At 43.3% G+C, this 26049-nt stretch overlaps 1 protein-coding gene across 1 annotated transcript in view; it reads left to right on the forward strand.

The window, feature by feature from the left end:
* ZNF487 (zinc finger protein 487) overlaps positions 1-26049 on the forward strand; it is an 87047-nt gene that overhangs the window by 49763 nt on the left and 11235 nt on the right. The window contains exons 6-8 of the transcript XR_007061981.1: positions 4762-6939; positions 9406-9532; positions 9825-9920. The gene's annotated coding sequence lies outside the window, so the exon portion shown is untranslated. The remainder of the gene's footprint in view (positions 1-4761; positions 6940-9405; positions 9533-9824; positions 9921-26049) is intronic.

The raw sequence follows: 26049 nt of genomic DNA on the forward strand, positions 1-26049 counted from the left end.
AATAAGAGCACCTTTATTTATATCAAAGTGGAACTTGTACCCGTAATGGTATGAAAATAGATATCACACAATGGTAAATAGCAAAATTAGGCAAGAGGATAAAAGCCATCTTTTTATATAGCCAAATACAAAAGCAGCTGCTACCTTGGTTATAGAAAACTATTAAGAGAGGCAAGAAACCTCTTTCAGCTTATGACAGATCAAAGAGATTAAAAATAAGGAAAGATAGCCAGCTAGCCTGTATTCTACCCAATGGAATATTTTACTCTTCAAGGAAAAATTGCAAAGATTGAAGAGATAATCATACCTAAAATTCAGTGGTATTTATTCTGTGTCAGATGGTTTTCTAAATATCTTAAACTTATAAAATCTAATCTCAACAACAAACGTGTAACATAGATATCATTGTTTTCCCAAAATAAAACTGAAGTAAAAAGATTAAGTGCCATGCCTATTATGGGATCTAGGTCAACAAATTTTTCATCACTCATTTTTCATCATTAGATCATATTCTAGTCACTAAGAATTTTTTTTTTTTTTTTTTTTTGAAGCAGAGTCTTGCTCTATCACCCAGGCTGGAGTGCAGTGGCACGATCTCAGCTCACTGCAACCTCCGCCTTCCAGGATCAAGCGATTCTCCTGCCTCAGCCTCCTGATTAGTTGGGATTACAGACGCGTGCGACCATGCCTGGCTAATTTTTTGTGTTTTTAAATGAGATGGGGTTCCATCGTATTAGCCAGGATGGTCTCGATTTCCTGACCTCGTGATCTGCCTGCCTCCGCCTCCCAAAGTGCTGGGATTACAGGCGTGAGCCACCGTGCCCGGCCCAGAAACATTTTTTTCTTTTTTTTTTTTGAGATGGAGTTTTGCTCTTGTTGCCCAGGCTGGAGTGCAATGGCGCAATCTCCGCTCACTGCAGACTCCGCCTCCCGGGTTCAGGAAATTCGCCTGCCTCAGCCTTCGGAGTAGCTGGGATTACAGGCATGTGCCACCACGCCTGGCTAATTTTTTGTATTTTTAGTAGAGATGAGGGTTTCACTGTGTTAGCCAGGATGGTGTCCATCTTCCGACTTCAGGTGATCCCCCAGCCTGGGCCTCCCAAAGTACTGGGATTACAGGCGTGAGTCACTGTGCCCGGCCCGAACATTTTTAATACTAAAAAGTAGAAATTTGTTAGAAGTAGAATTTTGAGGCCGGGCGCAGTGGCCCTCACCTGTATTCCCAGCATTTTGGGAGGCCGAGGTGGGTGGATCACCTGAGGTCAGGAGTTCGAGACCAGCCTGGCCAACTTGGCAAAACTCCGCCTCTACCAAAATACAAAAAAAAAAAAAAAAAAAAAAAAAAATTAGCCGGGCATGGTGGCAGGCGCCTGTAGTCCCAACTACTCAGGCTGAGGCAGGAGAATTGCTTAAACAGGGAGGCGGAGTTTGGAGTGAGCCAAGATGGCTCCACTGCACTCCAGCCTGGGTGATAGAGCAAGACCCTGTCTCAAAAAAAAAAAGAATTTCAAGATATTACATCCTTAATTGTGAGCTTTAAAACTAAATAGATAAATTACTTATGATATATAATCATAAAAGAAATCATCCCTTAAATAAAACTTTGGACTTAAGATAAATATCAAAATCCAAATTATTAATTATCTGGAATAAATTGTAAGGAGAATACATGACAACTTTAGGGCAACAAGTAAATTTATTGCAGAATAGTGTAACTTATTTTTAAAACTAAACTGAAAATAATTATGAATTATATATTTGCTCAAAGAAACTGGAAAAAAAGCAAAGCAGGACAAGGTTAGGATAAAATCATGAATATAATTAAAACATAATAAGGAGCAAAGCTAAGTGTAAAACTAAAAGCAGTTTGTTGCAACTGGTCATAAAAGTGATTAAATCTAAAGCTGGCATTAATAAGGAAGCAAGGTAATAAAACAAAAATATAAACAGCTTTGAGAAAGTACACCTAATAACAAAATCTTGTAACACAACAAATGAAAATCACAAAAAATATAGGGAGACTACATCGAGGATTATACCAACGAATAAATACAGGATGTTCTATTAGAATATCCTCTCCATGAAAGTAGTAATTTTGTTCACAACAATCTTTCCAACACTGTAGCAGCACATGCTCAATATATATTCACTGAATAAATGACTGACCAAGTAGGGTTTATATCAAAGAAAGTATGGCTACTTCAACAATAAGAAACTTACTGGAGGCCAGGAGTGGTGGCTTACTCCTGTTATCCCAGCACTTTGGGAGGATGAGGTGAGAGGATCGCTTGAGGCCAGGAGTTTGAGACCAGCCTGGGCAATATGGCAAAATCCTGTCTCTACAAAAAAAAAATATGAAAAAATTAGCTGGGTATGGTGGCCTATGCGTGTAGTCCTGGCTACTCGGAAGAATCACCTGAGCCCAGGAGGTCAATGGTGTGGTGAACAGTGATCACGCCAGCCCAGGCAACAGAGACAGACCCTGGCTCAAAAAGAAAAACCAAAACAAAAACACTCCCCAACTTCTTGGAGATACTACATCAACATATTTAACTTGAATACAGAATTATATGAAAGTCACTAGGCTGGGTGCAGTGGCTCATGCCAAGGAAGGAGGATTGCTTGAGGCCAGGAGTTCAAGACCAACCTGGCCAACATAGAAAGACTCCATTTCTAAAAAAGTGAAAAAAATTTAAAAAGTCACTAGCTAACAGGTAATTAGATACACATTTATTTATTTATTTATTTTTATTTATTTTTTGAGATGGAGTCTCGCTCTGTCGCCCTGGCTGGAGTGCAATAATGTGATCTCGGCTCACTGCAACCTCCACCTCCTGGGTTCAAGCAATTCTCATGTCTCAGGCTCCTGAGTAGCTGAGTTTATAGGCGCCGGCCACCAAGCCTGGCTAATTTTTGTATTTTTAGTAGAGACGGGGTTTTACCATGTTGGCCAAGCTGATCTCGAACTCCTGACCCCAGGTAATCTTCCTGCCTCCGCCTCCCAAAGTGTTGGGATTACAGGCGTGAGCCACCACACCTGGCCTAGATACAAATGTTAAACATGTTAGCCAATAACAAGTTCCAAGTAGAAATGGAAGAAAAATGGGAATACTTGTAATGTCAAAAATGATAAATTAGGCAAAAATTTAGTTTCACTGAGAAAGGTACATTGGAGCAAAGTCCTGAAGGAAGAATCATAAAAAATACTAAATCCAATAGAAGGCTTAAAAAGAGAAAAAAGATCAAAGAACAGCTGGAACAAGAAGAAAAATAGAAACAAATAAGTTATAGACTTAAACAGTCACATCAGTATTCACGTTACATACAAATGCCCCAAATATCCAAAGGCAGATGTTGCCAAATTGGATTTTAAAAAAAGCAATGCCCATTTATATACTATAGACAAGAAACTCATATTAATATAAAGACAGAAATAGCTTAAAAGTAGAAGGATTGAGGCCGGCGTGGTGGCTCATGCCTATAATCCCAGCACTTTGAGAGGCCGAAGGCGGGTGGATCGCCTGAGGTCAGGAGTTTGAGATGATCCTGGGCAACATGGTGAAACCCCATCTCTACTAAAAATACAAAAAGGGGTAGCCAGTGTGGTGGCAGGTGCCTGTAATCCCAGCTACTCGGGAGGCTGAGGCAGGAGAATTGCTTGGCCTGCTGAGCTGGAGGTTGCAGTGAGCTGAGATCGTGCCACTGTACTCCAGCCTGGGCAACAGACCAAGACCCTGCCTCAAACAAAACAAAACAAACAAAAAGAAAATAAATAAAACAAACAAACAGATTTTCTCCCATTTCTTCTTGTGATTTTCCCCCCATATTCAGTTGTTTTGCTTATCTTAGTTCTTACTGTTATAGCCTGAGTTTTCCTGAAGTAGCTCTACTTTTTTTTTTTTTTTTTTTTTTTTTTGAGATGGAGTTTTGCTCTTGTTGCACGGGCTGGAGTGCAATGGCACAATCTTGGCTCACTGCAACCTCCACCTTCTGGGTTCAAGCTGTTCTCCTGCCTCAGCCTCCCAAGTAGCTGGGATTACAGGTGCCCGCCACCACGCCTGGCTAATTTTTTTTTTTTTTTGAGATGGAATTTCACTCTTGTTGCCCAGGCTGGAGTGCAATGGCATGATCTCGGCTCACCACAACCTCTGCCTCCCAGGTTCAAGCTATTCCCCTGCCTCAGCCTCCTGAGTAGCTGGGATTACAGGCATGCACCTCTATGCTTGACTAATTTTGTATTTTTAGTAGAGATGGGGTTTCTCCATGTTGGTCAGGCTGGTCTCGAACTCCCAACCTCAGGTGATTTCCCCGCCTCAGACTCCCAAAGTGCTGGGATTACAGGCATGAGCCACCATGCCTGGCCTTTTTTTTTCTTTTTTTTTTTTTGAGACAGAGTCTCACTCTGTCTCCTGGGGGCATGATCTCGGCTCACTGCTACCTCTGCCTCGCAGGTTCAAGCGATTCTCCTGCCTCAGCCTCCTGAGTAGCTGGGACTACAGACATGTGCCACTATGCCTGGCTAATTTTTAATTTTTGTATTTTTAGTAGAGACGGGGTTTCACCATGTTGGTTAGGATGGTCTCAAACTCCTCACCTTAGGTGATTCACCCGCCTCAGCCTCCCAAAGTACTGGGATTACAGGCCTCTACTTCGTTTTTTATTCATTTTCCATAAGTGAATAACTCTATGTTTAGTGCAGGTTGCTAATTTTATTGTTGTTTCAGAGAATTTTATTCTTATTCTTTGTGTCCTGTTCTCCAGGTACCTGTGTGGGTTCCCTCAGACCTGGCCCCAGTACTTTTGCCTTTCCTTGGGAGCCATCTGATTCACTGCTGGTTTCAGCAGCCACCAACATGCCAGTGACTCCGCAGTCCTCAGCTTCATTACGGGCTTCCCTTCTGAGCTCCAGAACCACTCATCCAGCTCCCTCCTGAAGATCCCTGCCTGCCCGTTCCACAGACACTTCGAGCACAACATGTCCGAGACCCCTCTAGCCCTTACCTTTTGCCCAGCCTCTTTCTTTGCACTTCCCAGTCTTTGCAAATGGCACCTGGATTTACCTGGAGGCTCATAAAGAAACTCTGGGAGATAATTTCCCCATCTTTCTTTTGCACCATGAATTTGGGACCAATATCTCTTAATGTCTTATTTTGTAGGATCAATTCTTCTTTCCAGGAGTTAGCTAACGTCTTTTGTAAAGAGCCAGATAGCGAATATTTTATGCTTTGTGGACCAAGAAATAAAATCAAGGATATATGTAGGACTTATTGAGCAAGAGACAGAAGAAATTTACACAATTTTTGTTTTGTTTTGTTTTATTTTGTTTGTTTGTTTTGATATGAGGTCTTTGGCCTCACTCTGTTGCCAGGCTGAAGTGCAATGGTGTGATCACGGCTCACTGCAGCCTAGACCTCCTAGGCTCAAGTGATTCTTCCACGTCAGCCTCCTGAGTAGCTGGGACCACACAGCCACCACGCTGCCACATCCCGCCATGAGCTGCTAATTTAAAAAATTTCTGTGAAGATGGGGTTTTGCCACATTGCCCAGGCTACCGCCAGTTTTTGTTGATGAAATTCAAAATATAATCATGATTGTGTTATAGTGTTTTGCAATACAGGTCTACTAATGAGAAAAGTGGAATTCTTTTGGGGTGGTTAACATTTTGCTTAATTGAGGTTCTTTGTTACTATTCTATGTCATCAAAATCTATTGCAAATCATCATCTGCTAATGTTGAATTGTAATGAGCTTTCACATATTTCATCTTTGAAAATGTGTTTCACATAGGTACTACCAGTTACTGATATCAGTCCACAAACATGATTTTATTTTATTATTTTATTTTATTTTATTTTATTTTGAGATGGAGTCTCGCTCTATCGCCCAGGCTGGAGTGTAGTGGCATGATCTCGGCTCACTGCAAGCTCCACCTCCTGAGTTCACGCCATTCTCCTGCCTCAGCCTCCCAAGTAGCTGGGACTACAAGCGCCCGCCACCACGCCCGGCTAATTTTTTTGTATTTTTTAGTAGAGACTGGGTTTCACCATGTTAGCCAGAATGATTTCGATTTCCTGACCTCGTGATCCGCCGGCCTCGGCCTCCCAAAGTCATGATTTTATTTTTTAAAAATAAATTTAATGTGTATTTTTGAGGCTTACAACATGTTATGGGATATGTATAGATAGTAAAGTGTTTAGTGAAGCAGATTAATGGATCTGTCATCTCACATAGTTGCTTTTGTTGTGACAAGAGCAGCTACAGTTTACTTAATAAAAATCTCTAATAGAATTTTACTAATTTTAGTCCTTATGTTGTACATTAGAACTCTAAAGGTGTTCAGGCCAGGCGTGGTGGCTCATGCCTGTAATCCCAGCACTTTTGGAGGCCGAGGCAGGTGGATCACCTGAGGTCAGCAGTTTGAGACCAGCCTGACCAACATGGAGAAACCCCGTCTCTACCAAAGATACAAAATTAGCTGGGTGTGGTGTCGCATGCCTGTAATCCCAGCTACTCAGGTGGCTGAGGCAGGAGAATTCCTTGAACCTGGGAGGCGGAGGTTGCGGTGAGCTGAGATTGCTCCATTGCACTCCAGCCGAGGCAACAAGAGCGAAACTCCTTCTCAAAAACAAACAAACAAACAACAACAACAACAAAACTCTAGTGGTGTTCATCCTACATATTTAAAAGTTTGTATCCTTTGACCTACATTTCCGCATTTCCTTTACCACCCCTCCAACACCTGTGGAAACCACTGCTTTATTCTCTGTCTTTGTATTTGAACTCTTTCTAAAAATATGGCTAACAACCTGGCGTGATGGCTCACACCTGTAATCCCAGCACTTTGGGAAGCCGAAGAGGGTGGATTGCCTGAGACTAGGAGTTCAGATCAGCCTGGGCGACATGGCGAAACCCTGTCTCTACAAACAGTAAAAATATCCAGGTGTGGTGATGCATGCTCGTAGTCCCAGCTACTTGGGAGGTTGAAGTGGGAGGATCACTTGAGCCTGGGAGGTCGAGGCTGCAGTGAGCCATGATTGTGCCACTGGACAGCCTGGGAGACAGAGCAAGACCCTTCCTCAAAAAAAGAAAAAAAAAAAAAAATATATATATATATATATATATATATATATGGCTTCCAAATAAGCTGTGATGAAATATTCCAGCTAATTAGATAAGAAAACTACCCACACTCCGCTGTGCCTTAAAAATCTGACACTCAAAGCCCATTTCTCTTGTTTTGACGTGATATGCACTGGTAATAAAAAGCTAAAATAGGCCAGGCGCGTTGGCTCATGCCTGTAATCCCAGTCCTTTGGGAGGCTAAGGCAGGAGAATGGCTTGAACCTGGGAGGCAGAGGTTGTAGTCAGCCAATATTGCGCCACTGCACTCCAGCTTAGGCGGCAGAACAAGACTCCATCTCTAAAAAAAAAAAAAAAAAACTAAAATAAAATGTCACAAGATGGCATTAGGCTTGGCACTTGAAATGCAGCGAAGTTATAACTGAATCCATGTCTTGTGATTTGTAGTGTGCTGGGCAGCAGTGAGAGTGCCACATACAGTCTGTGGTGACTACTTGTCCCTGCTGTTGTGTGAAAGCAGCTTAGACAATACACAAACACACAAGCTTGTGTTCTTATAAAATTTTATTTATGGACACTGAAATTTGAATTTTGTATAATTTTTACATATATGTGTCCCAAAATATTCTTTTGATTTTTTCCTAACCATTGGAAAATGTAAAAAATGTAACAACCATTCCTGGTTCCTGTACAGAATGGGGCAGGCCAGATTTGGCTGTGAATTGCTTGCCAACTCCTGCCGGTTCTTACACCTGAATGTGGGTGGTCATCCTGCCCTCTGGTCTTTGCCTTGCATTTCCTCTTAAGCTCTTCTCCACTCTTCTTAAAATCACTGCCCCTAAGATGCAAACCTGGACATCTAACTCTAGTGCTTACTTCACCTCTTTATTGGCTCCCTGTTACCCACAGCTGTGATCTTGAAGTGGTGGGTTCGAGATATACCTTAGGGAGTGCTTAAGAAAATCAGTACACTTGAGGCTGGGCGTGAGGCTCACACCTGTAAGCCCAGCACTTGAGGTCAGGAGTTTGAGACCAGCCTGGCCAACATGGTGAAACCCTGTCTCTACTAAAAATACAAAAAAAAAAAAAAAAAAAAAAAAAGCTGGGCATGGTAGTGCGCGCCTGTAATGTCATCTACTCAGGAGGCTGAGGCAGGAGAATCACTTGGACCTGGGAGGCAGAGGTTGCAGTGAGCCGAGATCACACCACTGCACTCCAGCCTGGGCAGCAGAGTGAGACTCCATCTCAAAAAAAAAAAAAAATCAGCACGCTGGAAGAAAATACTAGCCTAGCTGTTTACATTATTTACACTCACAAAAAAGAAACTTTATAGTACATATGTTTAACTTATGATAAAATATTTAGGGAAAGGAATTTATCCCAAATTACTTATAATCATCTAGCTCTTGATTTTGCTTCTGCATCTGTATCTTAATATAGCTCTATCCTTTCACCAACAAACAGTACTATTTGTAGTTCTATTAACCTGCCCTGTGTTTTCAGTGTCCCCAGGCTTTTTTTTTTTTTTTTGCTTTGTCTTTGGCCCATAATACATTGTTATTATTATTATTAGAGACGGAGTCTTGCTCTGTCTCCCAGTTTGGAGTACAATGGCATGATCTCGGCTCACTGCAACCTCCGCCTCCCAGGTTCAAGCGATTCTCCCACCTCAGCCTCCTGAGTAGCTGGGATTACAGGTGTATGCCGCCACACCCAGCTAATTTTTGTAGTTTTAGTAGAGATGGGGTTTCACCATGTTGGCCAGGCTGGTCTTCAGTTCCTGGCCTCAGGTGATTTGCCCGCCTGGGGCTCTCAATGTGTTGGGATTACAGGTGTGAGCCACCGCACCCAGCCCCATGATACATTATTGATGTGTGAGGACTCAATGCGTTAATTTCTTAAGGTAGCAAAACAGAATTGAACACTTTCCCGGGTGTGGCCATTACCTTTTAGATTCTTCTTGCATTTCTTCTGCAAAACCTTATTGCAGGCATATTTTTTAACTATGTCTTTCAATGATATAATTAACCCTTTGAGAGCAGTGTTTTAAAGTATTAATTTTTATATCCCCAGAACATAAGACAGTTCCAGCACATTGGGGAACTTTAGATTTTTTTCCCACAAATCAATAAATTAATACATGGTTAAGGTACTTTTGTGATTTGTTCTCCCACAGGATATAATGCCAAATAAAGGACAGAGTAGGTATGCTGTGTGACATTTTTTCTTTGAGTATCAATAGTGAACATGACAAGATATTAGATCCCAAACATTGCATAGTGTTTGTTGTAGTCACTGTAAAATGAACACAGATGTACTTTTTCAGGGATCAGTGTCGCTCAAGGACGTGACTGTGGACTTCACCCAGGAGGAGTGGTAGCATCTGGGCCCTATTGAGAGGACCCTGTACATGAATGTAATGCTGGAGAACTACAGCCTCCTCATCTCAGTGGGTAAGGATTGCGTTTTATATACTTCAAATAGCATTCATTTCTTTTTTAGCAGTTGATATACGTGATCCTTTATAGAGATGAATTATTTTTTAGGGTTGAAATTTAGGGTTCAAAGGAGACCCTGGGCTGTAGGTATAAGGTGACCTTTTTTGGTCACTGGAAACTTTTTTCCCCTCTCCTAGTGAAAAGCTTAAGTGGAACTATTGACTACAGCTCCTAAAACTGCACCTTTTTCTTCAGAAGGCTTGAAGCTATAAGCCTGGCTGAGTCCTAAGTCATTTCTCATTCACAGGGTATTGCATTAGCAAGCCAAAGGTGGTCTTCAAGTTGCAGCAAGGAGAGGAGGCATGGATATTAGAGGAAGAGTCCTCAAGCCAAAGCCACTTTGGTGAGTAGTGAGTACCTACCCACTGTAAGCCTAGTGAGATTGGTCCCTGTCCATTCAGGTGTCTGCTCTTTGCTATTTTAAAGGAATTTTATATTTCATTTCATTTATTTATTTATTTTTTGGGTTACAAACAACTGAAATTTATTTCTCCCAGTTTTGGGGGCTAGAAGTCCAAGACCAGGGTGCTAGCATGCTAGCATGGTCAGGTTCTGGTGAGGGCCCTCTTCCAGGTTGCAGACTGCCAATGTCACGTTACATCCTCACATAGTGGAGAGAGAGAGCTAGAGAGCTCTTTGGGGGTCTTTTTTTAAGACTTTTATTTTAGGTTCAGTGGGGTACATGTGAAGGTTTGTTTACATAGGTAAACTCATGTCATGGGGGAGTTTTATTTTTTAGAGGCACCACTGTAAAAGTGGCCTAGAATAATCGGTCTGTTTTCCTTAATAAATATAATACACTTCCAAGTAATGACCTCATAGCTGAGTGTTCTTGGGTTTTCACTTGAATTTTTTAGACAGAGTTATTATTCTCAGCATTTACAAAAATCTAATTCTTGCCTATCTCATTTTAGATCTTTTTCTTATTTATTCCCTTTCTATTGTCTTATTTTAATTGTGTATCATTTATTCATTCAACAAGTATGAAGTTTTTTATTAATTTACATGCCAGTTAGGTTTACAGCTGGGGATAGACCTGTGGAAAATATAATGATCCTACTGTGAGGAAGTTTATACTTTTGTTTTGGAGGAGACTAAAATGTGGTGTGATATTTTAGCAAATGTTTTTAAACCCCTTTGGGGTCAAAATCAGAACACAAATTTTAATGATGTGAGGGAGAATGTGAGCCGTGTAGTTTCTGAATATTCTAGGCATTGGAGGATTTTGAGCAAAGAAGTGACAGGATCTGACTCACCTCTCTCTGGCTTTCATGAAGAGAACATGCCAGCTGAGGGGTGGCAGATTGGGGAGCAGGCAGCAGTAAATCCTGCAATGGCCCACAACAGTGATGGCGCCTGCACTAGCTCAGTAGAGTTAGGGAGGTCATGTGAAGGGTTTTATTTCTGGATGTTTGTTGAAGGTGTTCCCCAAACAGGATTTGTTAGATTGGTTTTGGAGTACAAGAAAAAGTGGTGTTTGATACATAAGAGATATATAGGCTGGGCGCGGTGGCTCACGCCTGTAATCCTAGCACTTTGGGAGGCCGAGGCGGGAAGATCATGAGGTCAGGAGATCGAGACCATCCTGGCCAACACGGTGAAACCCCATCTCTACTAAAAATACAAAAAATTAGCTGGGCGTGGTGTCAGGCGCCTGTAGTCCCAGCTATTCCGGAGGCTGAGGCAGGAGAATGGCGTGAACCCGGGAGGCAGAGCTTGCAGCGAGCCGAGATTGCGCCACTGCCCTCCAGCCTGGGCGACAGAGCGAGACTCCGTCTCAAAAAAAAAGAAAAAAGATATATATATATATATATGTATATGGAGAGAGAGAGAGAGAGACATCTCTTGTGTCACACAGCATACCTACTCTGTCCTGTATTTGGTATTTTATATATATATATATATATATATATTTTTTTTTTTTTTCTTTTTTTTTTTTTTTTTTTTTTTTTTTTTTTGAGATGGAGTCTCACTCTGTTGCCCAGGCTGGAGTGCAGTGGCATGATCTCGGCTCACTGCAACTTCTGCCTCTCGGATTCAGCATACCTACTCTGTCTTGTATTTGGTATTTTATATATATATATATATTTTTTTCTTTTTTCTTTTTTTTTTTGAGATGGAGTCTCTGTTGCCCAGGCTGGAGTGCAGTGGCATGATCTCGGCTCACTGCAACTTCCGCCTCCCGGGTTCAAGTGATCCTCCTGCCTCAGCCTCCCAAGTAGTTGGGATTATAGCTGTGTTGCCACCATGCCGGCTAATTTTTGTATTTTTAGTAGAGACGGGGTTTCGCCACAGTGGCCAGGCTGGTCACGAACTCCTGACTCAAGTGATCTGCCCACCTCGGCCTCCCAAAGTGCTAGGAATACATGCGTGAGCCACCGTGCCCAGTCCATAGAGCTATAATTTATTGAGTTGGCGAAAAATGGGATGCAATAGTGCTGAGAGGAAATTGATAAGAATGTAGGTAAATCTAGGCTGGGCGCAGTGGCTCACGCCTGTAATCCCAGCACTTTGGGAGGCCTAGGCGGGTGGATCACGAGGTCAGGAGATTGAGACCATCCTGGCTAACATGGAGAAACCCTGTCTCTACTAAAAATACAAAAAATTAGCCGGGCGTAGTGGCGGGCGCCTGTAGTCCCAGCAACTCGGGAGGTTGAGGCAGGAGAATGGCGTGAACCTGGGAGGTGGAGCTTGTAGTGAGCCGAGATCGCGCCACTGCACTCTAGCCTGGGCAACACAGCGAGACTCCGTCTCAAAAAAAAAAAAAAAAGATTGTAGGTAAATCTAAACAAACATTTCTTTGGTGAGTAATACTTGTTGCGTGTAAAAAGGACAAACACATAATACTGAAAAATAGCACATAGGTCAGTTAGCAGTTAGACTTCTGTTCTAAAATGTTTGTTTTTCCGAAGACACGTTAAGAAATATGCATGGTAAAATTTAATGAACAAATGCTAAAATAAGCAAAACACTATCACTTTCAAACCTGCAAATGAGAGAAAGTGGAAAATTAAAACCAACCATTGTAAACAAATTGAATCAGACCCAAAAAGGGTAATAAAGTATTGGAGAGTAAAGAGTGGAAAGTGTGGAACACCTAAAAGCTGCACCCCTGACCAAAAAAATAAAGAAACGGCCAGATATTTTAATAATTACAGGAAGTGAAAATTGACTAAATTCTCCTGATAAAAGACAAAGATAAGTTGGATTTTGAGGGTTTTTTTTGTTATTTTATTTTATTTGTTTGGAGACAGAGTCCTACTCTGATGCCCAGGCTGGAGTGCAGTGGTGTGATCACAGCTCACTCAAGCCTTGACCTTCTAGGCTCAAGCGATCTGCCCACCTCAGCCTCCCAGAAATTCGAGACTAGCCTGGGCACACGGCAAAACCCCATTTCTATAAAAAATACAAAAATTAGCCAGGCAAAGTGCCATGCATCTGTAGCCCCATCTACTTGTGAGGCTGAGGTGGAAGGATCTCGTGAGCCTGGGCAGTCAAGGCCGCAGTGAGCGGAGGTTGCACTGTCACACTCCAACTTGGGTGATGGAGTGAGACCCTGTCTCAAAAAAAAAAAGAAAAAGAAAAAAATTGTCTGCAGACAGATGATTAAAAATACTCTGAGTATATAGCAAGTTGGCAAATGTAAGATCAATGTATATAATCTGTTGTCTTTCTAAGCACCAGTCATCTATTTCATTTTATTTTATTTTATTTTTGAGACAGTCTCACTCTGTCGCCCATGCTGGAGTGCAATGGTGCGGTCTCGGTTCACTGCAACCTCCGCCTCCCAGGTTCAAGTGATTCTCCTGCCTCAGCCTCCTGAGTAGCTGGGATTACAGGCATGCACCACCACACCTGGCTAATTTTTGTATTTTTAGTAAAGATGGGATTTCACCAGGCTGATCTTGAACTCCTGACCTCAGGTGATCCGCCTGCCTCGGCCTCCCAAAGTGCTGGGATTACAGGCATGAGCCACCATGCCTGGCTTCATCTTTATATTTTTTTAGAGGCAAGGTCTCACTATGTTGCCCAGGCTGGTCTTGAACTCCTGAGCTCAAGTGATCCTTTCACCTAGCCCTTCCAAAGTGCTAGGATTACAGGCATGAGCCACCACGCCTGGCCACACCAGTCATCTTTAGAAAACATGATTCAGGTTTGAGTGCAGGAGATCAAGGCTGTAGTGAGCTATGATCATACCACTGCACTCCAGTCTGGGTGACAGAGTGAGACCCTGTCTCAAAAAAACAAACAAAAAACAACCCCCCACCCCTGGCTCCAATTCAAAGAATTTAAACCATTTGCAATAACAAGGCCTTTATTTTTAATTTTTTTGAGACAGGATCTTGCTCAGTCACCGAGGCTGGAGTGCAGTGGTGCAATCTCAGCTCACCGCAACCTCTGCCTCCCGGGCTCAGCTGATTCTCCCACCTCAGCCTCCTGAGTAGCTGGGACCACAGGCGCACACCACCATGCCCAGCTAATTTTTTTTTTTTTTGTATTTTTGTGGAGATGGGGTTTCTTCTTGTTGCCAGGCTGGTCCTGAACTTCTGGACTCAAGCGATTCTCTCACCTTGGACTCCCAAAGTGTTGGAAATACAGACATGAGCCACTGGGCCTGGTCAGCAAGGCCTTTAATGGAGAAAACAAGAAAAGTATATTGAAAAGCATTAAAGGAAACATAAATATGGAGATAGGGAACACCTAATAATATCTTGAAATTGTCACGCTCTCTAAATTTACCTGTAGATTCAGCATACAGTTATGCCTTGCTTAGTGACAAGGATACACTCTGGGACATGTTAGGCAACTTCATTGCTGTGCAAACATCATAGAGTGTGTACTTACACAAACCTAGATGGTATAGCCTACCACACATCTAGACTATACGATATAGCCTGTTGCTCCTGGGCTATAAACCTGTACAGCATGTTACTGTATGGAATACTGTAGACAATTGTAACACAATGGTAAGTATTTATATATGTAAACATAGAAAAGGTACAGTAAAAATATAGTATAAAAGATGAAAAAAAATGGTATACCTGTATAGGCACTTACCATGCATGGATCTTGCAGGTCTGGAAGTTTCTCTGCATGAGTCAGTGGGTGAGTGGTGAGTGTGAAGGCCTAGTACGTTATTGTACACTACTGTAGGCTTTATAAACACTGTACACTTAGGCTACACTGTTTATAAAAAATATTTTTCTTCAACAATATATTAATTTTAGTTTACTGTAACTTTTTTCCTTTACAAACTTTTAACTTTTCTAGGCCAGGCTCAGTGGCTTATGCCTGTAATCCTAGTACTTTGGGAGGCTGAGGTGGGCAGATCACCTGAGGTCAGGAATTCGAGGCCAGCCTGGTCAACATGGCGAAACCCCATCTCTACTGAAAATACAAAAATTAGCTGAGCATAGTGGCATGCGCCTGTAGTCCCAGCTACTTGGGAGGCTGAGGCAGGAGAATCTTTTGAACCCAGGAGGTGGAGAGGTTGCAGTGAGCTGAGATAGTGCCACTGCATTCCAGCTTGGGCAACAGAGTGAGACCCTGTCTCAAAAAAAAACAAAAACAAAAAAAACCCACAAAACCTTTTAACTTTCCTTTTTTTTTTCTTTCCAGACAGGGTCTTGCTCTGCCACTCAGGCTGGAGTACAATGGTGCAGTAACCATTTACAATAGCATTAAAAAAATTAAGATACTTCAGAGTATATTTAACCAAATGAGGCAAGACTTGTACACTGAAACTACAAAACATTGTTGAAAGAAACTAAATACTACAATGTGTGGCTATTCCTCAAGGATCTAGAACTAGAGGTACCATTTGACCCAGCCATCCCATTACTGGGTATATACCCAAAGGATTATAAATCATGCTGCTATAAAGACACATGCACATGTATGTTTATTGCGGCACTATTCACAATAGCAAAGACTTGGAACCACCCAAATGTCCATCAATGATAGACTGGATTAAGAAAATTTGGCACATATACACCATGGAATACTATGCATCCATAAAAAAGGATGAGTTCATGTCTTTTGTAGGGACATGGATGAAGCTGGAAACCATCATTCTCAGCAAACTATTGCAAGAACAGAAAACCAAACACCGCATATTCTCACTCACAGGTGGGAATTGAACAATGAGAACACTTGGACACAGGAAGGGGAACATCACACACTGGGGCCTGTCGTGGGGTGGGGGGGGATAGCATCAGGAGGTATACCTAATGTAAATGATGAGTTAATGGGTGCAGCACACCAACATGGCACATGTATACATATGTAACAAACCTGCACATTGTGCACATGTACCCTAGAACTTAAAGTATAATAAAAAAAAAAGAAACTAAATACCTAAATAACTCATTATTCACGTTTGTGCTGGTGCTGTTCTAAATCTACTGCACTGACAGTCCTAAAAAGTATAGCACATACAATGATGTATCATACATAATACTTGATGATGACAATAAATGCCTATGTTACTGGTTTATGTATTTACTATACATTTTATCATTATTTCAGAGTGTACATCTCCTACTTATTTAAAAAAGGGCAGGCCAGGTGCGGTGGCTCATGCCTGTAATACCAGCACTTTGCGGGGCCAAGCCGGGTGAATCACTTGAGCCCAGGTATTCAAGACCAACTTGGGCAACATAGTGAGACCCCATCTCTACAGGAAATATAAAAATCAGCCAGATGTGGTGGCACATGCCTGTAGTCTCAGCTATTCAAGAGGCTGAGATGGGAGGATCTCTTGAGCCTGGGAGTCAAGGCTGCAATGAACTGTGATTGTAGCACTGCACTCTAGCCTGGGAGACAGTGAGACCCTGTCTCAAAAAAAAAAAAAAAAAAAAAGGTGGCTGTAAAACAGCTGCAGACAGTCTCTTTAAGAGGTATTCCAGAAGGCACTGTTATCATAGAGATGGCAGCTTTATGTGTGTGTTAATTGCCCTTGAAGACCCTCCAGTGGAACAAGATGTGGAGGTGGAAGACAGTGAGAATGATGATCCTGACCTTGTGTAGGCCTGGGCTAATGTGTATGTGTGTGTCTTAGTTTTTAATGAAACATTTAAAAAGTAAAAATAAACAAATAGATATATAGATAGAAAAAAGCTTGGAGAATAAGGATATAAAGAAAATATTTTTGTACAGCTATACAATGATTACAAAAGAGTCAAAATGTTAAAGTAAAAAGTGTTATGGTAAACTAAGATTATTGTTGAAGAAAGGAAAACTATTTTAAAAATAAACTTAGTGTAGCCCAAGTGTACAATGTTTATAAAGTCTAGAGTAATAGTACTGTTCTAGGCCTTCTCATTCAATCACCATTGACTGACTCACCCAGAGCAACTTCTAGTCCTGCAAGCTCCATTCATGGTAAGTGCCCTATACAGGTGTGCCATTTTTTAGTCTTTTTGTTTATTTGTTTTGAGACAAGGTCTCTCTCTGTCGTCCAGGGTGGAGTATAGTGGCATGATCCTGGCTCACTGTAGCCTCAACTTCCTGGGCTCAATCGATCCTCCCACCTCAGCCTCCCAAATAGCTGGGACTACAAGGCATGCACCACCATGCCCAACTAATTTTTGTATTTTTCTGTAGAGACAGGGTTTCACCATGTTGCCCAGGCTGGTCTCTAACTCCTGGTCTCAAGGAATCCACCTGCCTCTACCTCCCAAAGTGCTGGGATTACAGGTGTGAGCCACTGTGCTTCAGCCTTTTTATCTTTCACGCTGTATACTTACTATGCCTTTTCTATGTTTAGACACACAAATACTTACCATTGTGTTACACTTGCCTACAGTATTCAGTATAGTCACATGCTATACAGGTTTGTAGCGTAGGAGCAATAGGCCGTATCATATAGCCTAGGTGTGTAGTAGCTATACCATTTAGGTTTTTGTAAACATACCTAATGACATATTTCTCAGAAATGTGTCACTGTCATTAAGTGACACATGATTGTACATTTAAATTGATTATTGATAATGAAGGATTTATGCCATTGTGGTTTTTGTTTTGTATATGTCTTATATATTTTTTGTTCCTAAGTTCCTCCTTTACTGGCTTATGTGTTAGATACATGTTTTCTTTCTTTCTTTCTTTTTTTTTTTTTTTTTTGAGGCGGAGTCTTGCACTGTTGCCCGAGCTGGAGTGCAATGACGCGATCTCGGCTCACTGCAACCTCCGCCTCCCAGGTTCAAGCGATTCTCCTGCCTCAGCTTCCCAAGTAGCTGGGATTGCAGGTGTCCGCCACCACTCCTGGCTAATTTTTTTGTATTTTTTAGTAGAGATGGGGTTTCACTATGTTGGCCAAGCTGGTCGTGAACTCCTGACCTCGTGATCCACCCATCTCAGCCTCCCAAAGTGCTGGGATTACAGGCGTGAGCCACCATGCCCGGCACATGTTTTCTTATGTACCATTTTGAATTTTTTCATTTCTTTTATGAAATAACTTTTTTAGTGGCTGCTTTGGGGATTACAGTTAACATCTTAATTTATACCACTCTAGTTTGTGTTGTTGTTGTTGTTGTTTTTTTTTTGGAGACAGTGTTGCCCAGGCTGGAGTGCAGTGGCACGATCTTGGCTCCCTGCAACCTCTGCCTCCTGGATTCAAGCAATTCTCATGCCTCAGCCTCCTGAGTAGCTGGGACTACAGGCACCTGCCACCACGCCTGGCTAATTTTTTGTATTTTAGTAGAGACCGGGTTTCACATGTTGCCAAAGGTGGTCTCAAACTCCCGAGCTCAGGCATTCTGCCCACCTAAGCCTCCCAAAGTGTTGGGATTACAGGCGTGAGCCACTGCACCCAGCCTCCTTGTTGCTGTTTTTTAAAGAGATGGAGTATTGCTGTGTTGCTCAAGCTGGAGTGCAGTGGCTATTCACAGGTACAGTCACAGTGCACTGAGACCTCGAACTCCTGGGCTCAAGCGTTCCTCCTGCCTCAGCCTCCCTAATAGCTGGGATTACAGGCATGCACCACCATGCTTGGCTTTACCACTCTGGTTTGAATGAATACCAACTTGATATTTATAGTATACAAAAATTTTTCTCCTATATAGCTCTGTCCCCCTTAAGTTATTATGTCATATTTACATTTTTTTTTTTGTTTGAGACAGAGTCTTCCTCTGTCACCTAGACTGGAGTGCAGTGGTGTGATCTTGGCTCACTGCAACCTCTGCCTCCCGGATTCAAGTGATTCTCCTGCCTCAGCCTCCTGAGTAGCTGGGATTACAGGTGTGCACCACCATGCCCGGCTAATTTTTGTATTTTTAGTAGAGACGGGGTTTCACCGTGTTAGTCAGGCTGGTCTTGAAATCCTGACCTTGTGATCTGCCCGCTTTGGCCTCCCAAAGTGCTGAGATTACAGGTGTGAGCCACCACGCCTGGTCCATAATTACATTTTTATACAATGTTTGCTCATCAACATTGTCTTATAATTACTGTTTTATGTTTTATTCATTTTCTTTGAGATGGAGTTTTACTCTTGTCACGCAGGCTGAGTGCAATGGTGTGATCTCAGCTCACTGCAACCTCTGCCTCCCAGGTTCAAGGAATTCTCCTGCCTCAGCCTCCTGAGTAGCTGGGATTACAGATGCCTGCCACCATGCCCAGCTAATTTCTGTATTTTTAGTAGAGACAGGATTTCACCATGTTGGCCAGGCTGGTCTTGAACTTCTGATCTCAAGTGATCTGCCCGCATCAGCCTCCTAAAGTGCTGGGATTACAGGCGTGAGCCATCACACCCAGCCCATTTTATGTTTTTTAAACCACATAGAAAAGAGGATTTCAGTTGTCAAAAATGCATGAATACTGACTTTTATGTTTGCCTGTGTGATTACCTTTACCAGTGTTCTTTTCCTTTTCATTTGGATTTGAGTTACTGTCTGGTGTACTTTCACTTTGCCGTGAAGGATTTTTAGCATTTCTTGTCAGGAACATTTACTCATGATGGAGTAGCCACAGTTCTACTCCCCACTTTGCTCCTGTAGATGAAGTCCCTGAGCCGAAAAACCTTCCTTATCAAAAGGACCAGGCCCAGGCCCGGCTCTGTGGCTCATGCCTATAATCCCAGCACTTTGGGAGGTCAAGGTGGGAGGATTGCTTGAGCCCAGGAGTTCAAGACCAGCTTGGGTAACATAGTGAGACTTTGTACAAAAAATTGAAAAATTAATAGGGCATGCACACCTGTAGTCCCAGCTACTTGGGAGGCTGAGGCAGGGTGATCACTTGGGCCCAGGAGGTTGAGGCTACTGTGAGCTGTGATAATGCCACTGCACTCCAGCCTGGATGACAGATTGAGACCCCATCTCTAAAATAAATAAAATAAAATAAAATAAATTCCAGGCACAGTTCCTGCTTATCCCTGAGTAGTATGTTTCAGTTTCCTGCCAGCTCTCAGAATTAAACCAGACAATTGCATCCTCCTGCAGGAACTAGGGGAATAAAGCTCTCTTGATAGTGAAAAGCCTGCCTCCCAAAGCCCTTGGTTGTTCACTTATTCCCGAGTGAAATATCTCTGTGGTCTTGCCTGTTGCAGTGCCCTCCTCTCCTGGGCCGTAAGTACAAGTGACTGATAAATGCTGTCAAAATCACCTATGAGGTGTTGAGTATGCTTCAGCCATCCCACGACCCAAGGGTAGGAATTCCTTCCTCACCCACAGGGTGAAGAGGAGGGGATGACAATTGGCATAATGAACAGGATGGTCCCAGGGCCCCTGGTGAGCTGTAATTAACTGTTCTTGGTGGATAACTGGCTCCATGATACAGCAAAGGCTGCCTGGGTCCAAACTGGCCATTGCTGGTGGGCTTGTGCTTTGGCCTTCATTGTTTTCACTTCTTCCCACCCTAGGTGGCTCTCATCTCCAACATGAGGATTGTTATTTGACTGTACAGTGGCATTCTGTGCTCTTGGGTTTGGTGTGTTTATAGGTGGTTTATGAGGCTCCCTCCTGTAGAGGCAGCAACAACACAGCACCCTAACCAGTTGGTGCTTGAGTTCAGCTTACCACGAGTCAGGCCAGATCTCTTTTGTTGCTGTGTCTACTCTGTGAACCATCACTGGCTACCTGGGGGAGCTATACAGATGTTATTTGTGATTGTGCACCCACCCCCTGGGACAGGTCTGCCCTTCCTGAGGTTAGCGGAAAGGAAGAAAGAAGACCACTACTCCAGGGAGAATTAAACATGGCACCATGGATGCCTAGTGAGTGTTTTTCAGGCAAGAGTAATGGCCTTGCCTGGCACTTGTGCTGTTGCTTCCCCTGCTTCTGTTCAGCGTGCTCTCCTGGTGTCTAAGAGCATGAAGGTGCAAATCTGTTGTAGCCCACAACCGAGGAGCTGATGAAAAAATAGAAGGAGCATTTGGTACCAGCCTCTCCTGCTGGAGAATGTAGCTCAACTGCTTTCCCCATGCAAAACCCCTAGCCAGTGCACCTGGGCTTTGCTTAGTATGGCTGCTTACCAAGAAGCCAGAGGGCTAAGCTTGTAATGGCACAGCTTGTTGGCTCCCACCTGGGCCATAAACAAAATGACCTTCCTGGATGTGGATCCTAACCCTGGAGATATTGATTGGCCCTCCCTGTCAGAAGGGGCAGCTGCCTACAAGGTGGGCCATTGGGCCCCTGAACCTTTCCCTGTTCTCATCCAGAAGGTCCACATGGTGATGGGACAGTGACTGAAATGGAAAGCTGCAACTTATTGTGGCTAGAAATCTAAAATATTGTTTGGCAATTTATATATAGACAGCAATAAAAAAGCCTGTGTCATGGAAAAGGCGGGACTGTTGCTAAGGATAGTTTCAGTCCACCCACCACTGGGCCATGGGCCTTGCAGGTTTCCACTGCAGTACTTTGCTGCCCGAGCCTCCATTGCAAGAAAAATCCTCCTCTGTAGGGTCATAGGGAAAAGCCACCCTATGGCACCCTGTGGCATTGTGAGGGGGTTAATTCAAACCCAGCTTAAGCCTGAGGTTCTTAAACCCTGTAAACCAACCATTGCCTTGCAGGGAAGGAGGAGGCCTCTCACCCTGATGATAATGATTTGAGGCTCTCTGGAGAAAGAAATCTATAAATATGAGCAGAATAAAAAGAACTTCCCCTCCTTGTCTGTATGTTTTTAGGGGAGTTTCTGAATATAAAATAGAGACTAAATAAGTATGCCTCACCTTAACTGTTGTCTCTCCAAGATACCACATGGTCATAGCACTTATGACCTTAAAATGTACCGTGGTGGACATGGAATCAGTGAGCAATAAATTAAAATGAAGTCATTGGCACTTAACAACTTGGCTTAATGAAAAGGGACCTTGTGAAAACCACAGTTAAAATAATATCGGGCTGGGCACGGTGGCTCATGCCTGTAATCCCAGCACTTTGGGAGGCCGAGGCGGGTGGATCACCTGAGGTCAGGAGTTTGAGACCAGCCTGGCCAACATGGCAAAATCCCGTCTCTACTAAAAATACAAAAATACAAAAAACAAAAACAAAAACAAACAAACAAAAAAACTAGCCAGGTGTAGTGGTGCATGCCTGTAATCCCAGCTACTCGGGAGGCTGAGGCAGGAGAATCGTTTGAACCTGGGAGGCGGAGGTTGTAGTGAGCTAAGATTGCATCACTGCACTTCAGCCTGGGTGACAAGAGTGAAACTACACCTCAAAATAAATAAATAAATAAAATTAAATAAAATAGTTAATGTGGCCAATGTAAATTAAAACAGGGCCTTCAAGAATTAAGGCTGGGCACGGTGGCTCCCAGCATTTCAAGAGGCTGAGGCAGGCAGATTGCTTGAACTCAGGAGTTCAAGACCAGCTGGGGCACATGACAAAACGCTCTCTGTACTAAAAATACAAAAATTAGCTAGGCATGGTGGTGCACACCTGTAATCCCAGCTACTCGGGTGGCTGAGGCATGAGAATCACTTGAACACAGGAGGTGGAGGTTGCAGTGAGTCAAGATTGCACTACTGCACTCCAGCGTGGGTGACAGAGCAAGACTCTGTCCAAAAAAAAAAAAAAGAATTGAAACTTGTATGAAGGGGTGATTATCCCACTGCACCTGCATCTAGCAGCCAAACTTGGCCTTTTTAACCTGGAAAGCATGAATGTGAATAGTGCCTCATGGTGGATTACTGGAACCTTAAGGTCCTCAGACCTGATACCCAATATTATTGAAGTTACTGACTCTATCTAATAAACAACTGGTAAATATTTTGCTATTGTAGATTTGGCTTGTATTAGGGTTCTCTAGAGGGACAGAACTAATGGAACATATATATATATATATATATATATCATGGGAGTTTATTAAGGATTAACTCACACAAACACAAGGCCCCACAACACGCCATCTGCAAGCTGAGGAGCAAGGAGAACCAGTCCAACTTCCAAAAGGATTAGTTCCAAAAGGATTGGAGTCCAATGTTCGAGGGCAGGAAGCATCCAGCATGGGAGAAAGATGTAGGCGGGGAGGCTAGGCCAGTCTCTCTTTTCACGTATTTCTGCCTATATATATTCTAGCCTCGCTGTCAGCTGATTAGATTGTGCCCACCCAGATTAAGGTGGGTCTGCCTTTCCCAGCCCACTGACTCAAATGTTAATCTTCTTTGGCAACCCCCTCACAGACACGCCCGGGATCCATACTTTGTATCCTTCAATACAATTAAGTTGACACTCAGTATTAACCATCACAAGTCCACCGGTTGTCAACTTGAACCCATACACATCTCCTGAGATCATATATAATCTTCAAATAAAGACAATAATAAGGTCATAATTATGCCTAACATAATACAACTGTCCTTCATACAATGGGAAACGTACCAATTCCCAACCCAAATACTATTACATAAAGTTAACAATACATAAATGCTGATGTGAAGTCAATAAATCTTATGTCACATGATAAAGGGAAAGGAAATAAAATGAAGATTTTTTTAGTACAAGTATATATATGCACAAACATGTTCTTAACAAAAGAGGGAGGAAATATGACAATTACAGTCCTCGTTTCTGCAGCTGGTCACATGGTCATAGCTGGTATTGATGACTACCTTCATCTATTACCCATTCTGTATTCCCTTTGCCTTCAGCAAGCACCTCAGCAGGTCATGGTTTTTTTCCTGGTGGAGTGACCCAAACCTTCATTCCTGAAGGGTCTGGGTCATTTGTAGTCCTGGCTGGATTGGGCTGTTGTAGTTTCCCATTGATCTAATTACAGCACATGGTAATACCAAGAGACACCCTAATGGATCTCCTGTATTCCATGCATACTCTTCCTTACCTCCATTGTGGAGTAGTAGACTGATTCCATCTTGATAATCCGGGACAACCATCCCAGGCAACACTGTAACTCCCTTTTTTTTGTTTGTTTTTTTTGAGAAGGAGTCTCACTCTGTCGCCCAGGCTGGAGTGCAATGGCATGATCTTGGTTCACTGCAACCTCTGCCTCCCGGGTTCAAGCAATTCTCCTGCCTCAGCCTCCTGAGTAGCTGGGATTACAGGCACATGCCACCATGCCTGGCTAATTTTTGTATTTTTAGTAGAGACAGGGTTTCACCATGTTGGTCAGGCTGGTCTCAAACTCCTGACCTCATGATCCGCCCGCCTTGGCCTCCCAAAGTGCGGGGATTATAGGCGTGAGCCACCGTGCCCGGCCCTGTAACTCCCTTCTTAGCCGGTTCACTTAAAGGTAGAAGAAGCCCAAAGTGTTCAGGTGGCAATCTTCCAGTTTAATGGAATTGTTGTTGGGTCTCCTGGTGGCAGTGTTCCTCCCTATGGAACTAAGACCTCTAGGCCAGCAGAACGTAATTTTGCGGGAACAGGAAGCAAAAATTTTGCTTGTGGAACACTAGGGGTGATGGTAACTGGTGCCACTTTCACTTCCATCCCTTGATTCCTGGACCCATGAATCCTGGCTATGGGAGAAACAGTACCATATATTGGATGCTGATTCAGAGCATACACAGCCTTCTGGAGAACTTTGCCCCAGCCTTGCAAAATATTGTCACCTAGTTGGTGTTATATTTGTGACTTCAAAAGGCCATTCCACTGTTCTGTCAATCCAGCTGCTTCAGGATGATGGGGAACATGGTTAGATGAGTCAATTCCATGAGCATGAGCCCACTGCCGCACTTTTTTAGCCATAAAGTAAGCACCTTGGTTAGAGGACGTGCTGTGTGGAATACTGTGATGGTGGATAAGGCATTCTGTGAGTCCACAGATGGTAGTCTTGGCAGAAGCATTGTGTGCAGGATAGGCAAACCCATATCCAGAGTAAGTGTCTATTCTAATGACGACAAACCTCTGTCCATTCCATGATGGAAGAGGTCCAATATAATCAACCTGCCACCAGGTAGCTGGCTGATCACCCGAGGAATGGTGCCATATCAAGGGCTCAGTGTTGGTCTCTGCTGCTAGCAAATAGGGCACTCATCAGTGACCATAGCCAGGTCAGCCTCGGTGAGTGGAAGTCCATGTTGCTGAGCCCATACATAACCTCCACTCTTGCCACCATGGCCACTTTGTTCATGGGCCCATTAGGCGACGACAGGGGTGGCTGAGGAAAGAGGCTGAGTGCTGTCCACGGAACGGGTCATCCTATCCACTTGATTATTAAAATCCTCCTCTGCTGAGGTCACCTGTTGGTGAGCACTCACATGGGATACAAATATCTTCACAGTTTTTGACCACTGAGAGAGATCCATCCACACACCTCTTCCCCAAGTTTGTCACCAATTTTCCAGTAATGCTTCTTCCAAGTCCCTGACCATCCAGCCAAACCATTGGCTACAGCCAATTAATCAATATATAATCGCACATGTGGCCATTTCTCCTTCCATGTAAAGTGCACAACCAGGTGCACTGCTCAACGTTCTGCCCACTGGGAAGATTTCCCTTCACCGCTGTCCTTCAGAGATGTCCTAGAAAGGGGCTGTAGTGCTGCAGCTGTCCACTTTCAGGTGATGCCTGCATATCGTGCAGAATCATCTGTGAACCAGGCCCTAGTCCTCTTTTCCTCTGTTCACTGATCATAGGGAACTCCCCATGAGGCCATCGGTGCAGGCTGGGGGAGAGAAGGCATGGTGGCAGGAGTGGAGACCATGGGCATTTGAGCCACTTCCTCATGTAACTCACTTGTGCCTTCAGGACCTGCTCGAGCCTGATCACATATATGCCACTTCCGTTTGATGATGGAATGCTGCTGCGCATGACCCACTTTATGGCTATATGAGTCAGAAAGCACCCAGTTCATAATAGGCAGTTCAGGTTGCCAGGTGACTTGATGACCCATAGTCAAACCTTCAGTTTCCACCAGAGCCCAGTAATAGGCCAAGAACTGTCTCTCATAAGGAGAGTAGTTATCTGCAGAAGATGGCAGGGCCTTGCTCCAAAATCCTAGAAGCTTCCATCGTGATTCACCTATGGGGGCCTGCCAAAGGCTCCAAACAGCACCCTGTCTGTCACTGACAC

The sequence above is a fragment of the Homo sapiens genome, chromosome 10, assembly GCF_000001405.40.
Source record: "Homo sapiens chromosome 10, GRCh38.p14 Primary Assembly".
In the NCBI taxonomy this organism is placed as follows: Eukaryota; Metazoa; Chordata; class Mammalia; order Primates; family Hominidae; genus Homo; species Homo sapiens.